This window comes from Homo sapiens, chromosome 8 (assembly GCF_000001405.40).
Source record: "Homo sapiens chromosome 8, GRCh38.p14 Primary Assembly".
Lineage (NCBI taxonomy): Eukaryota > Metazoa > Chordata > Mammalia > Primates > Hominidae > Homo > Homo sapiens.
In genome coordinates this window covers 30691496-30705349 of record NC_000008.11, presented here as the reverse complement: position 1 = coordinate 30705349, position 13854 = coordinate 30691496, and the positions used below count along the sequence as shown (strand labels likewise).

Sequence of the window (13854 nt, the reverse complement as noted above, 5' to 3'; positions counted from 1 at the left end):
CGGAGCTTGCAGTGAGCTGAGATCACACCACTGCACTCCAGCCTGGGCAAAAATGCAAGACTCTGTCTCAAAAAAAAAAATTTTTTTGTAGAGATGAGGTCTTGCTATGTTGCCCACGCTGATCTTGAACTCCTGGACTCAAGCAACCCTTCTGCCTTGTCCTCCCAAAATATGGGAATTATAGGCATAAACCACTGCATCTGGCCTTTTTTTTTTTTAATGGAGCTGACTGAAATACTTTTGCAAAAGAGGTAGGAAAATTATTCAGGAACCAGCATTTTGTAATACTTAGAAATCTTGGTGTGTACTATAGCTTATGGTGATCTTATGGGGAAGGAATTACCTATAGTTGACCCAGAAATTCTATATTGCAAAGGAAACTTTCTATCTAATATCCTGGAAACTGAAAGTAAAAATCTCACTGCTTCCTCCTCTGAACTAGTGTCTGTCCTATCGCCACGCGAGCCATACTCCTTTTTGTCTAGCATTGCAGATGAAGTCATTAAGACCTGAGGGAATGGTGTTCTGGAGGCCTGTGGATTTTGTCTTTGACCTTGATTCAGCTTGATTAAGCCTGGCACCTGCAGGAACAGGCCTGGAGGGTGCAGGGAAAGAAGAAGATAACTCAATTCAGAATCAAGCACGTTCCAATATGTTAAAGCATTCCACTTTGTAATCATGCTTACATGGTTCCATTATTCTTGTAAGTTGACCACATTTGCATGCCCCTGCATGTATCATGGCTGGCGAAAGCGTGCCAGCAGCCCCTAAGTGAAGGCCTGGGTACAGAGGATTCCAGTAAGAGCAAATCCAAAAGTAAGAGTCTGAGTTCTCACCGTCTCCAGCGTAGAACTTCAGTGTCATGTACTTTTGTGGTATTCTTCCCATTTTACGAAAGCACAAGCATTGCGTTTCCCTCCCTTGGCCAGAGTATTCCTCTCTTGCTCTTGCCTCTGTTCATTTCACCATTATCCTGTTGTCTTTCTTAGCCTTCTGCCTCTCCTCCAGACACACCAGTCTTTTTGAGAGAGGGTCTTGTCTCTGTCGCCCAGGATGGAGTGCAGTGGCGTAATCTCGGCTCACTGCAACCTCTGCCTCCCAGGTTCAAGGAATTCTCGTGCCTCAGCCTCCTGAGCAGCTGGGATTACAGGTGCCCGCCACCACTTCTGGCTAATTTTTATATTTTTAGTAGAGATGGGGTTTCTCCATGTTGGTCAGGCTGGTCTCGAACTCCCGACCTCAGGTGATCTGCCTGCCTCGGCCTTCCAAAGTGCTGGAATTACAGATGTGAGCCACCATGCCCAGGCCAGACACACCATTCTGTAATGTGATTACATTGCACATAAGGAACTTTCGCCCTCAATTCTTGGGGGCAAAGATGTCATCTTTCTTACGGGGGTGCCTTGCATATACTTTTTTGTCTCTGGGTTTTGGCCCAAGTTAGCACTTTTATTTCTTCTTCTTTTTCCTCCTTCTTCCTTCTTTCTTCTTTCCTTCCTTCTTCTAACTTCTTTCTTTCTTCCTCCTCCTCCTCCCTCTTCTCCTCCTCCTCCTTCTTCCTTCCCCTGCTCCCCTTCCCTCCTTCCTTCTTCTTCTTTCTCCTCCTCCTCCCCCTCACTTTGTCATCCAGGCTGGAGTGCAGTGGTGCCATCTCAGCTCACTGCAGCCTCAACCTCCCAGATTCAAGCAATCCTCCTGCCTCAGCCCCTCAAAGAGCTGGGACTACAGGTGTGCAGCACCATGCATGGCTAATTTTTGTATTTTTAGTAGAGACTGGGTTTTGACATGTTTCCCAGGCTGGTCTCGAACTCCTGAGCTCAAGCTATCCACCCACCTCTGCCTCCCAAAGTGCTAGGATTACAGGTGTAAGCCACCTGTGCCCAGCCTATTTCATCTTACTGTATACTTCCGGCAACTAATGGCAACCCCTTTCCTAAGTATAGGTTGCCAGTTAGAAGTTCTACAGAAACTTGAAAAACGGAGAATTGTGTTGGCATCAGCAAACCAAGAATCAAAATGTTCAGTAGAGAAATGAAAGTTCTGATAAGTTGCAGTAGGTGTCTTTGTTTTTATTCTAAGAACAGGCTAATGTCATGGTTCCTTCTTTAGTCCCATATAGAAATCATCCGTGGCCATGCAGCCTTCACGAGTGATCCCAAGCCCACAATAGAGGTCAGTGGGAAAAAGTACACCGCCCCACACATCCTGATCGCCACAGGTGGTATGCCCTCCACCCCTCATGAGAGCCAGATCCCCGGTGAGTCATACAACAGGTACTCATTAACAGCAGTCAGGAGTTTACTGTTGCTTTCAACCTGAAAAGCCATGCCAGGGGATCTGCCTAAACCAGTTCTCTCTTTGGAGCCAGGCCATGGGAGAAGGTCTCTGCAGAACCTAACTCCAGTTGGCTTAGTGGTAGCTAGTGATGCAGTCGCCCAGGCTGGAGTGCAGTGGCACGATCTTGGCTCACTGCTACCTCCGCCTCCTGGGTTCAAGTGATTCTCCTGCCTCAGCCTCCCAAGTAGCTGGGACTACAGGCATGCCACCACCACACTTGGCTAGTTTTGGTATTTTTAGTAGAGATGGGGTTTCATCATATTGGCCAGGCTGGTCTTGAACTCTTGACCTCAGGTGATCCACCCACCTTGGCCTCCCAAAGTGCTGGGATTGCAGGCCACCGTGCCCAGCCAAGAGATTTCATTTGGCCCCAGGCTCAGACATATTGCAGGTAACAGAGGGAGAGAAATCAATGAAAGCCTCATTCTTTCCTTCTTAGCTTAGCATACATTGTTTCCAGCCTCAGTTTGTCAGACGGGTTGTTATTTACAAGACACGTGATAATTTATTGTTTTGTTCAAGAGAGAGAAATCTTGTAAGGATGTAGCTTGAGTAGCTAAGTGAGCTTTTATATGCATATTTTTCTCTTTTAAGTAGAGACTTATAGAAGATTAAAGCTGTAAGGAATCTCAGAGATGGTCATAACTTCTTTTGCATTTTATTTTATTATTTATTTATTTATTTATTTATTTAGAGACAGAGTCTGGCTCTGTCACCCAGGCTGGAGTGCAGTGGCACAACCTCAGCTCACTGCAACCTCCACCTCCTGGGTTCAAGCGATTTTCCTGCCTCAGACTCCCGAGTAGCTGGGATTACAGGTGTCCGCCACCACGCCCAGCTAATTATGTACTTTAGTAGAGACAGAGTTTCACCATGTTGGTCACATGGGCCCACCTCGGCCTCCCAAAGTGCTGGGATTACAGGCGTGAGCCACTGTGCCCGGCCTATTATTTTATTTTATATTATTTTATTTTTTTGAGACAGGGTCTTGCTCTGTTGTCCAGGCTGGAGTGCAGTGGTGTGATCACAGCTCACTAAGGCCTTGACCAGGACGTTTAGATGGGAGATGGCTCAAGCGATATCTTTCTTTTTTCCCAGCTAGATTATAAGGACTTTGTGGATGGTGAACATAGTTTATACATCTTTTGAATTTTCCATGGATTAGCTTCATAAGATCCATTATCAAGGTGAATTTTTTTTTTTTTTTTTTTTTTTTTTGTGAGACAGATTCTTGCTCTGCCACCCAGGCTGGAGTGCAGTGGCGCAATCTCCACTCACTGGAACCTCTGCCTCCCGGGTTTAAGCAATTCTCCTGCCTCAGCCTCCTTAGTAGCTGGTACTACAGGCACATACCACCATGTCCAGCTAATTTTTTTTGTATTTTTAGTGGAGGTGGGGTTTTGCCACGTTGTCCAGGCCAGTCTCAAACTCCTGACCTCAGTTGATCTGCCCACCTTGGCCTCCCAAAGTGCTGGGATTACAGGTGTGAGCCACTGCACCCGGCCAAAATGCAACATATATATTTTTTTGTTTGTTTGTTTGTTCAGAGACAGAGTTTTGCTTTTGTCACCCAGGCTGGAGTGCAATGGGAGGATCTTGGCTCACTGCAACCTCTGCCTCCTGTGTTCAAGCAATTCTCCTGCCCCAGCCTCCTGAGTAGCAGGGATTACAGGCATGCGCCACCACACTCAGCTAATTTTTGTATTTTTAGTAGAGACGGGGTTTCACCATGTTGGCCAGGCTAGTCTCGAACATTTGACCTCAGGCGATCTGCCTGTCTTAGTCTCCCAAAGTGCTGGGATTATAGGTGTGAGCCACTGCACCTGGCCTAATATATTTAATAACTGATGAGAAATGAGGGTAGGGGGGCTACAGAGAGAAGGAATCAGCAGTTGACAACTGAAGGCTTTGTCTGCATTATTGGGAGCAGGTGGTAACTGAAGTGGTAAACTTGAGAGAGATATGGGTTGGAAGATAAAATTAAGGTTCAGTTCTAAATAGACTAAGTTTGAAGCCAATGTAAAATTGTGTGGCGAGATAGTTAGAAACATGGAACTGCAACCTGGGGAGAAGGTCAAACCTGGAAGAATGCATCTGGAAGTCCTGCAAGATAGGACCTGCTATCCTATATCCAAAGGTTTCAATCTCCTTTTCACTACATGTATATTTCACTATATAGGTTGTACCTCTTGTAATTCAATGTGTACACCATATAGGTTGAAACCTTTGAAAGAATAAGCAGAGAGGAAAGGGCCACGTCGATTTTTTTTTTTTTTTTTTTTTTTTTTTGGAGACAAAATCTTGCTCTGTTCCCAGGCTGGAGTGCAGTGGCACGATCTCGGCTCACTGCAACCTCCACCTCCCAGGTTCAAGTGATTCTCCTGCCTCAGCCTCCCAAGTAGCTGGGACTATAGGTGCGTGCCACCATGCCCAGCTAATTTTTGTATTTTTAGTAGAGACAGGGTTTCACCACGTTGGCCAGGCCACATAGATTTTGAACTACATAGAAATTTGTCTTTTCAGGCAGGAACGGTGTCTCACACCTGTAATGAGCTGAGCCCCAGGGTTCCTACCTGCCCTTGGGGTGGGAGGGTGAACAGATCCAACAGAGTCTGTTCATGACCACTGAGATCTTCATTCTTCAGAGAAATGTAAAAGTTATTTAGCCATCATGGCTTCTGTTTCTAGAGAGAAAATAAAAATGTTAACTCAGGGAGGATTTGGTTGGCAGCTTTCCAAGCAGAGACTTTAACAAAACTTGTCAAAACGGAGACTATGTTGGCTGTGAAAGTGTTTGGTTTTTGGCATAAAATGTTGTGATTACTTTGCAAGAGAAAGAGCAGTCTTGTGTGATCTATGTTGCCTTTTTCTACATAGGTGCCAGCTTAGGAATAACCAGCGATGGATTTTTTCAGCTGGAAGAATTGCCCGGGTAAGCCAACCTGACCTGACCTCAGTGACTCATTCTTCCTTACTGTCTCCTGGTAACTTTTCTTCGTCTTCTCCTCCCAAGCATTTAATGTAGGCCTTTCCTGAATTCCCTCCTCTTACAGCTTCTCTTTTCATGACCTTGTATATCTCATTCCTAGAACTCCTCAGTAGATCCCTCAAATCTTTCATGCTTTCAATCAGAGGCCAAAGTCAAATGCAGGGTAATTTGAAGACTGCATAGCAAAGTCCTAAAACTGTCTTCTTTCTTCAACTTAATACAGCATCAATTAAGAATGTGTCTAAAGTAGCTTGTATTTTAGAATAGAATAGCTGGTTTTGGCCAGATGTGGTGGCTCATGGCTGTAATCCTAGCACTTTGGGAGGCTGAAGCGGGCAGATCACCTGAGGTCAGGAGCTCGAGACCAGCCTGGCCAACATGGTGAAACCCTGTCTCTACTAAAACTATGGAAATTAGCTGGGTGTGGTGGTGTGGGCCTGTAGTCTCAGCTACTCGGGAAGCTGAGGCAGGAGAATCACTTGAATTCTCAAGGCGGAGTTGCAGTGAGACAAGATCACACCAAGAAAGAAAGAAAGAGAGAGAGAGTGCCACCACGCCCCGCTAATTTTGTATTTTTAGTAGAGGTGGGTTTTCTCCATGTTGGTCAGGCTGGTCTCAAACTCCTGACCTCAGGTGATCCGCCCGCCTCAGCCTCCCAAAGTGCTGGAATTACAGATGTGAGCCACCACACCTGGCCAGATTTTCTTTTAATGAACAAACATTTTTTTTTTTAGAGACAGGGTCTTCTTCCATCGCCCAGGCAGGAGTGCAGTGGTGCCATCATGGCTTGTGGTAGCCTTGAGCTCTTGGGCTCAAGCAATCCTTTCACCTCAGCCTCCCGAGTAGCTGGGACTACAAACGTGCACCACCATACCTGGTTAACTTTTTAATTTAAATTTTTGTAGAGATGGGGTCTCGTTCTGTTGTCCAGGCTGGTCTAGAATTCCTGGCCTCAAGCAATCCTCCCACCTTGGCCTCTCAAAGCAGTAGGAATACAAGCATGGGCCACCGTGCTGAATGGATTTAGATTCATAGAGGGGCAAAAAGATCATGAGGAAGTTTGTTTCTCTGATTTGAAGTTGCTGTACATTGCAGGCTTTCTAGTTTAGAGGGATGCTCCTGTCACTTGTGAGAAGAGGTGATGCCTGGAAACAGGTGGAGGGACCCAATGTGTTGGCGCAGGGACTGGCCTTCATTCATCTTCTGAGTGGCACTCACTGTGGAGTTTGCATTGCTCAACTCTTCTGCTCCCTCAGGGGCTGTGCTAATCCAGTTTGAGGTCCTAATCCTATGCTTTTAGAAGGGCTTTTAGGGAGAGTGACTCATAGTCCATGAGCCTATCTTCACTTTGATTCACCCAGAGTCATGGACAGTTCAGACAGCACGAGGCAGTTCAGAAAGGACCAGGGAGCTGCTTTGCAGTTCCATAGGATGGTGAAAATGTCCCTTGAAGATACCTCAGACCAGGCAGGCTTCTGACTTGGAGGAGTTCTAAGAAAACCATACAATCTTTTTTGGTTTGCTATCAGGTCGCAGAAATGTGTTAGAGAACAGCCTTCCTTCCCTGTGATCCACCCTGCATTGTTTGATTTTAGGGTTGAGTGACATGACATATGTGAGGATGTAGTGAGACATACAGTCATGACTCATTATGTTTGGATAATGTAATTTCATTCCGGACTCACCCTCAAAGAAGTTTCATTATAAATAGCTGTTCATTAGCAATTTTAAATATTTACATTTATGCATGTCATCAACAAAAGGCTCTGAAACACAAGAAAATGAATTTACGATTGATACGTGATTCTTCAAGTCTACTTTATCTTTGTTACGGTGTTGGTGAATAAGTAATAACTGGGCAAGTACATAAATAATGTAGGGAAGATAGCATGATTTAGTTTTTGCACTGAGGGGGCTTCTGTTTGGATGGAGCATGAACCTTGTGGAATACTGTGCATGAGTAGTCCTGGGGCTGCAACGAGGTAAAGAGAAATCTTTTAGGGATTCAGCCGCCTGAAAGATCAGTTCCAGAAGCCAGGCACAGTGGCTTATGCCTGTAATCTCAGCACTTTGGGAGGCCTGAGGCGAGCGAATTTCTTGAGCCCAGGAGTTTGAAACCAGCCTAGGCAACACAGCACAACCCGATCTCTGCAAAAAAAATACAAAAATTAGCTGGGTGTGTTGGCACATGCTGGTAGTCTTGGCTACTTGGGAGGCTCAGGCCGGAGGATCACTTGAGCCTAGGAGTTCGAGACCAGCCTGGGCAACATAGGGAGATATTGTCTCTGCACAGAGTTTTTTCCTCTCTGAAGAAATGAGGCTAAAGAGCTTTAAAAACAATGAAAAATACATTTCCCTTCTGTGACGGGATATTAGGGATTTTTCTTTTCTTTTGAGATAGGGTCTTTTGCTCTGTCACCCAGGCTGGACTGCAGTGGTATAGTCATAGCTCACTGCAGCCTCCACCTCCCAGACACAAGTTATCCTCCTGCCTCAGCCTCTCAAGTAACTGGGACCACAGACATGGACCATCATACTTGGATAATTTTTATTTTTACTTTTAGGGGTTTTTTGTTTGTTTGTTTGTTTGTTTGTTTGTTTTGTTTTTTTGAGACAGAGTCTCGCTCTGTTTCCCAGGCTGGAGTGCATTGGTGCAATCTTGGCTTACTGCATCCTCTGCCTCCTAAGGGCAAGCGATTCTCCTGCCTCAGCCTCCCGAGTAGCTGGGATTACAGGCACACACCACTGCACCTGGCTAACTTTTTGTATTTTTAGTAGAGACGGGGTTCACCATGTTGGCCAGATTGGTCTCGAACTCCTGACCAGGTGATCCACCCACCTCAGCCTCCCAAAGTGCTAGGATTATGGGCATGAGCCACCGTGCCTGGCCTTACTTTTATGTTTTTGTAGAGATGGGGTCTCACTTTATTGCCCAGGCTCAAAGGAATATTTTCTACTTAAAGTTGCAGTGGTATCCAGGATTGGATCTTGGAACAGAAAAAAAAAAAGATTAATAGAAAAACTGGGCTAGGCAAGGTAGCTTACACCTGTAATGCCGGCACTTTGGGAGGCCAAGGTAAGAGCATTGCTTGAGCCCAGGAGCTAAGACTAGCCTGGGCTAACATGGTGAGACTCTGTCTCTACAAAAGAAAATATAAAACTTAGCTGGGTGTGGCGATGAATGTCTGTAGTCCCAGCTACTCAGGAGGCTGAGGCTGGAGGATGGCTTGAGTCCTGGAGGTTGAGGCTGCAGTGAGCCGTGTTCACACCACTACACTCCAGCCTGGGTGACAGAGACCCTGTCTCAAAAAAAAGGGAAAAAGTGAAAATCTGCAGTCTAGGGTTTAGTCATTAGTAATGTACCAATGTCAATTTCTTATTTTGACAAAGGTATCCTAATTAAGTAAAATATTAACTTTAGGGAAAACTGATCAAGGGGTATAATAAGGGAAATCTCTGTACTATCTCTGCAACTTTTCTGTAAACGTGAAATTATTCCAAAATTAGTTTATTTAAGAATACTAACCCTCTGCTCGCGTCTCAGCCGCAGCGTCATTGTTGGTGCAGGTTACATTGCTGTGGAGATGGCAGGGATCCTGTCAGCCCTGGGTTCTAAGACATCACTGATGATACGGCATGATAAGGTAAATGCCACCTTTTTCTTTTCGCTTTTCTTGATGTTAATTTAAAAAATGAAGAATTTTTTCTTATGTTGTCGTTAAATACTAGGGTGCAAAGCAGGTGTGGGGGTCATTTGGTTGGTTTCATATGGTGCTGTATCCAAGTTACCTGAATTTGGCCTATATCCCTCCCAGTTGCTGGTTGATGATGATAATTTTGAGTTGGTCAAATTGGCTGGTAATTTCATCACTAAGTGGTAGATAGTCATGAGATGCCCTCATAGGGAGACGTGGGGCCTAAACATAACTATTAGCTAAATTAAACAGACTGTTAGGTTAATTTATTTTTTTATTTTTATTTTTTGAGACAGAGTCTCACTCTTTTGTCCAGGCTGGAGTGCAGTGGCACCATCTCGGCTCACTGCAACCTCTGCCTCCTGGGCTCAAGCGAGTCTCATGCCTCAGCCTCCCAAGTAGCTGGGATTACAGGTATCCACCACCATGCCCAACTAATTTTTGTATTTTTAGTAGAGATGGGGTTTCACCATGTTGGCCAGGCTGGTCTCGAACTCCCTACCTCAGGTGATCCACCCACCTCGACCTCCCAAAGTGCTGGGATTACAGGTGTGAGCCACCAAGCCCCGCCAGGTTAATTTATTAATTTCTGGAAATCAATTTTATATGATCAAGTAATGTTAGATTGTTACCACTCATTCTAAACAATTTACTAAATTCTTTGCATTAAAGCAGGGGTGTCCAATCTTTTGGCTTCCCTGAGCCACACTGGAAGGAGTAGAATTGTCTTGGACTACACATAAAATACACTAACACAAACAATAGCTGATGAGCTAATAAAAAAATAAATTGCAGACTGGGCACAGTGGCTCACGCCTCTAATTCCCAGCACTTTGGGAGGCTGAGGCGGGCGGATCACTTGAGGTCAGGAGTTGGAGACCAGCCTGGCCAACATGGTGAAACCCCATCTCTACTAAAAATCCAAAAATTATCCAGGCATGGTGGCAGGCAACTAATCACAGCTACACGGGAGGCTGAGGCATAAGAATCGCCTGAACCCAAGAGGCAGAGGTTGCAGAGAGCCAAGATTGCACCACTGCACTCCAGCCTGGGCAACAGAGCAAGACTCTGTCTCAAAACAAAAAACAAAACAAAACAAAAAAACTGCAAAAAAATCTCATAGCATTTTAAGAAAGTGTACAAATTTGTGTTGGGCCACATTCAAAGTCATCCTGGTCCGCACACGGCCTGCAGGCTGCAGGTCGAACGAGCTTACATTAAAGGGAATCTTGTAGATCATACACTTGAAATTTTTTTTTTTTTTAAGAGACAGAGTCTTGCTATGTTACCCAGTCTGCAGTACAGTGGCATGATCATAGCTCACTGCAGCCTTCTGAGCTCATAGGATTTTCCTGCCTCAGCCTTCCAAGTAGCTGAGGCTACAGGTGTGGGCCACCATGCCCTGACTAATTTTTTTTTTTTTTTTTTTTTGAGACAGAGTCTCACTGTGTTGCCCAGGCTAGAGTGCGGTGGCACATCATGGCTCATTGCAGCCTCAACCTTCTGGGCTCAAGCGATCTTCCCACCCCAGCCTCCCAAATAGCCAGGACTACAGGAACATGCCACCACACCCAGTGAGGTTTCACCATGTTGCCCAGGCTGGTCTCAAACTCCTGAGCTCAAGTGATCCGCCCACCTCGGCCTCCCAAAGTGCTTGGGATTACAGGCATGCGCCACCTGACTACTTTTTATATATTTTTAGAGATGAGGTCTTACTATGTTGCCCAGGCTGGTCTCGAACTCCTGGCCTCAAGCTATCCTCCTGCCTCAGCCTCCCAAGTAGCAGGTGGAGTTCAAGACCAACCTGGGCAACATAGTGAGACCCCCATCTCTACTACAAAAAATTAAAAAATTAGCAAGGTGTAGTGGTATACGCCTGTAGTTGCAGCTACTTGGGAGGCTGAGGTAGGAGAATCACTTGAATCCAGGAGGTCAAGGCTGCAGTGAGCAAAGATTGTGCCACTGCACTCTAGCCTGGGCAGCTGACTGTCCCTAACAAACTTGTGACTTAGGCAAGCCACATAATGCCTTTGGGGCCTAGTTCTGCAGGGACAGAATTTATCAGATCCCTGACTACCAAGATGCTATGATTCTAATTCTTATGTGAGCAGATGGAGGGAGACAGGGATTCTGAGAATCCTAGGCAGTATGTACTTTAAGGAACTTTCTCTGTGGCTTTGAAACTGGTTATATAATTAGCTCCAGGAGATTGAGGTCCTGAATAATATTTTTTCATAGGTAAGTATTATTTTGCTAGAATATATCCAGCAAATTAGAAGGATGGGGAAAGGTAGAGGAGTTCCTAGCTTGAATTTATATATAGATAAGTAAATAAACTGCAGCAGTCTGTCAATAAAGGGGGTAATTCTTGCATCTGTAAAATTGGCTACTTTGCAGAGAGCCACATCTACTTGGGCTTCCTGCCCTCTCCCATCCCAAATGCACCAAGTTCATTCTCCCTTTTTTTCCCAGTGTTAACTCCATTTTAGAGCTACTCTGTGGGTGGGCATGGTGGCTCACACCTATAATCCCAGCACTTTGGGAGGCCTAGGTGGGCGGATCACCTGAGGTCAGGAGTTCGAGGCCAGCCTGGCCGACATGGCGAAACCCCGTCTCTACTAAAAATAGAAAAGTTAGCCAGGCATGGTGGTGGGCGCCTGTAATCCCAGCTCCTCGGGAGGATGAGGCGGGAGAATTGCTTGAATCCAGGAGGCGGAGGTTGCAGTGGGCTGAGATGGTACCACTGCACTCCAGCCTGGGTGGTAGAGCAAGACTCCCTCTCAAAAAAATAAAAATAAAAGAACTACTCTGTGAATAACTCATGACCTCCCACCTGAACTCCACATGTGGATGGTCACAGATATATCTCCAAGGCCATACTGTTGAGATTTATGGCTAGACAAGATTTTGCTAGTAAATCTTCCCTTCAATCATATCAGAGGGAAAGCAGACCTTGAGATACGAAAAGTGGAAAGAGAATTTCTGTTCCCTGGACTTAAGGAAAAGAGAAGCAAGCTTTGTGAGGAGAAGACAGTGGACAATGGCTGTCCATTTAACTGTAGGACAGGAGTTGGTGAAGTCATATGTATTGCAGATGGTGGTGGTGATGTAGGAAAATAGGGAATTTATTAATACTCCACTCCCAATATGGCCATAAGTAAGGAGGAAATAATTAGGGGAGAGATAATGCTGAAGTTTCCCTCCCAAGTTTGTGGTGTGTCTTTGCTCAAGTTTTCTTCCTCTCGCATTACCCATCCCTATGTTGATATGCAGGTACTTAGAAGTTTTGATTCAATGATCAGCACCAACTGCACGGAGGAGCTGGAGAACGCTGGCGTGGAGGTGCTGAAGTTCTCCCAGGTACAGTGCCAAGCCCAGGCATGCACGCGGCCCCCAGTCAATCACACTTTCTGCTTGTGGCTTCGCCCAGTTAGTTTAAAAACACAAACACTATGTCTACCCCGGTCCATATATTCCACCTCTAGGGTACTCCCTATTATTTCCTTCCTCCTAAGAAGCTGTATTTTAGCCAGGTGCGGTGGCTCACACTTGTAATCCCAGCACTTTGGGAGGCTGAGGTGGGCGGAACACTTGAAGTCAGGACTTCGAGAACAGCCTGGCCAACATGGTGAAACCCTCTCTCTATTAAAAATACAAAAATCAGCTGGGCGTGGTGGTGTGCACCTGTAATCCCAGCTACTCTGGAGGTTGAGGCAGGAGAATTGCTTGAACCCAGAAGGTGGAGGTTGCAGTGAGCCGAGATTGTGCCACTGCACTCCAGCCTGGGCGACAAGAGCGAGACTCCGTCTCAAAAAAAAAAAAAAAAAAAAAAAGTCTGGGTGTGGTGGCTCACACCTGTTATCCCAGCACTTTGGGAGGTCGAGGCAGGCGGATCACCTGAGGTTGGGAGTTTGAGACCAGCCTGACCAACATGGAGAAACTCCATCTCTACCAAAAATACAAAATTAGCTGGGCGTGGTGGCGCATGCCTGTAATTCCAGCTACTCGGGGCAGGAGCATCACTTGAACTCAGGAGGTGGAGGTTGTGGTGAGCTGAGATTGTGCCATTGCATTCCAGCCTGGGCAACAAGAGCGAGAGTCCATCTCAAAAAAAAAAAAAAAAAAAAAAAAAGCTGTATTTTACATTCAGCCTTGAAGTCAAGGGTAAAATATTAGAAATCTGGCAGTTGAATTTAGATGAACTTTGATTTTTTTTTTTTCTTTTTGAGACAGTGTCTCACTTTGTCACCCAGGCTGGAGTGCATTGGTGCAATCTCAGCTCACTGCAGCCTCAACCTCCTGGGCTCAAGCAATCCTTCCACCTCTGCCCCCACCAAGTAGCTGGGACTACAGGCACATGCCACCACGCCTGGCTAATTTTTTTGTATTTTTTGTAAAGATAGGGTTGAGCCATGTTGGCCAGGCTGGTCTTGAACTCCTGAGCTGAGACTATCTGCCCACCTTGGCCTCCCAAAGTGTAAGGATTACAGGTGTGACCCACCACACCCGGCCCCTGATTTTTTAAATTTGGATTTTAAAACTTTGATTTTTGTGCTCAGGTGTCTTATTACACATCCTTAATATTTTTAGATTTATATTTATTTTTTAGGAAATATTATGGAATCTAATTTTTATCTTTTTTTTTTTTGAGATAGAATTTCTCTCTGTTGCTCAGGCTGGAGTGCAGTGGTGCCATCTCGGCTCACTGCAACCTCTGCCTCCTAGATTCAAGGGATTCTCCTGCCTCAGCCTCCTGAGTAGCTGGGATTACAGTCACGCACCACCATGCCTGGCTAATTTTTGTATTTTCAGTAGAGACGGGGTTTCACCATT

General features: G+C 45.5%; 1 protein-coding gene across 6 annotated transcripts in view, besides 1 other annotated feature; it reads left to right on the top strand.

Annotated features, from left to right (window-relative positions):
• Positions 1-13854, top strand: part of GSR (glutathione-disulfide reductase) — a 49781-nt gene that overhangs the window by 22497 nt on the left and 13430 nt on the right. For 4 of the 6 annotated variants that reach the window (NM_001195103.3, NM_000637.5, XM_047421727.1 and 1 more), the window contains 4 exons: positions 2110-2257; positions 5215-5269; positions 8871-8970; positions 12295-12381. In NM_001195103.3, coding sequence (NP_001182032.1) covers positions 2110-2257; positions 5215-5269; positions 8871-8970; positions 12295-12381 — 390 coding nt within the window. The remainder of the gene's footprint in view (positions 1-2109; positions 2258-5214; positions 5270-8870; positions 8971-12294; positions 12382-13854) is intronic. The other 2 variants (NM_001195104.3, NM_001195102.3) reach the window with 1 other exon arrangement.
• Positions 1986-2532: an enhancer, noted in NCBI's record as "NANOG hESC enhancer chr8:30560335-30560881 (GRCh37/hg19 assembly coordinates)". NCBI's record gives its function as "activates a minimal SCP1, AML or CMV promoter by ChIP-STARR-seq in primed H9 embryonic stem cells {active_cell/tissue: H9 hESC(primed)}" and the evidence as "EXISTENCE:reporter gene assay evidence [ECO:0000049][PMID:30033119]".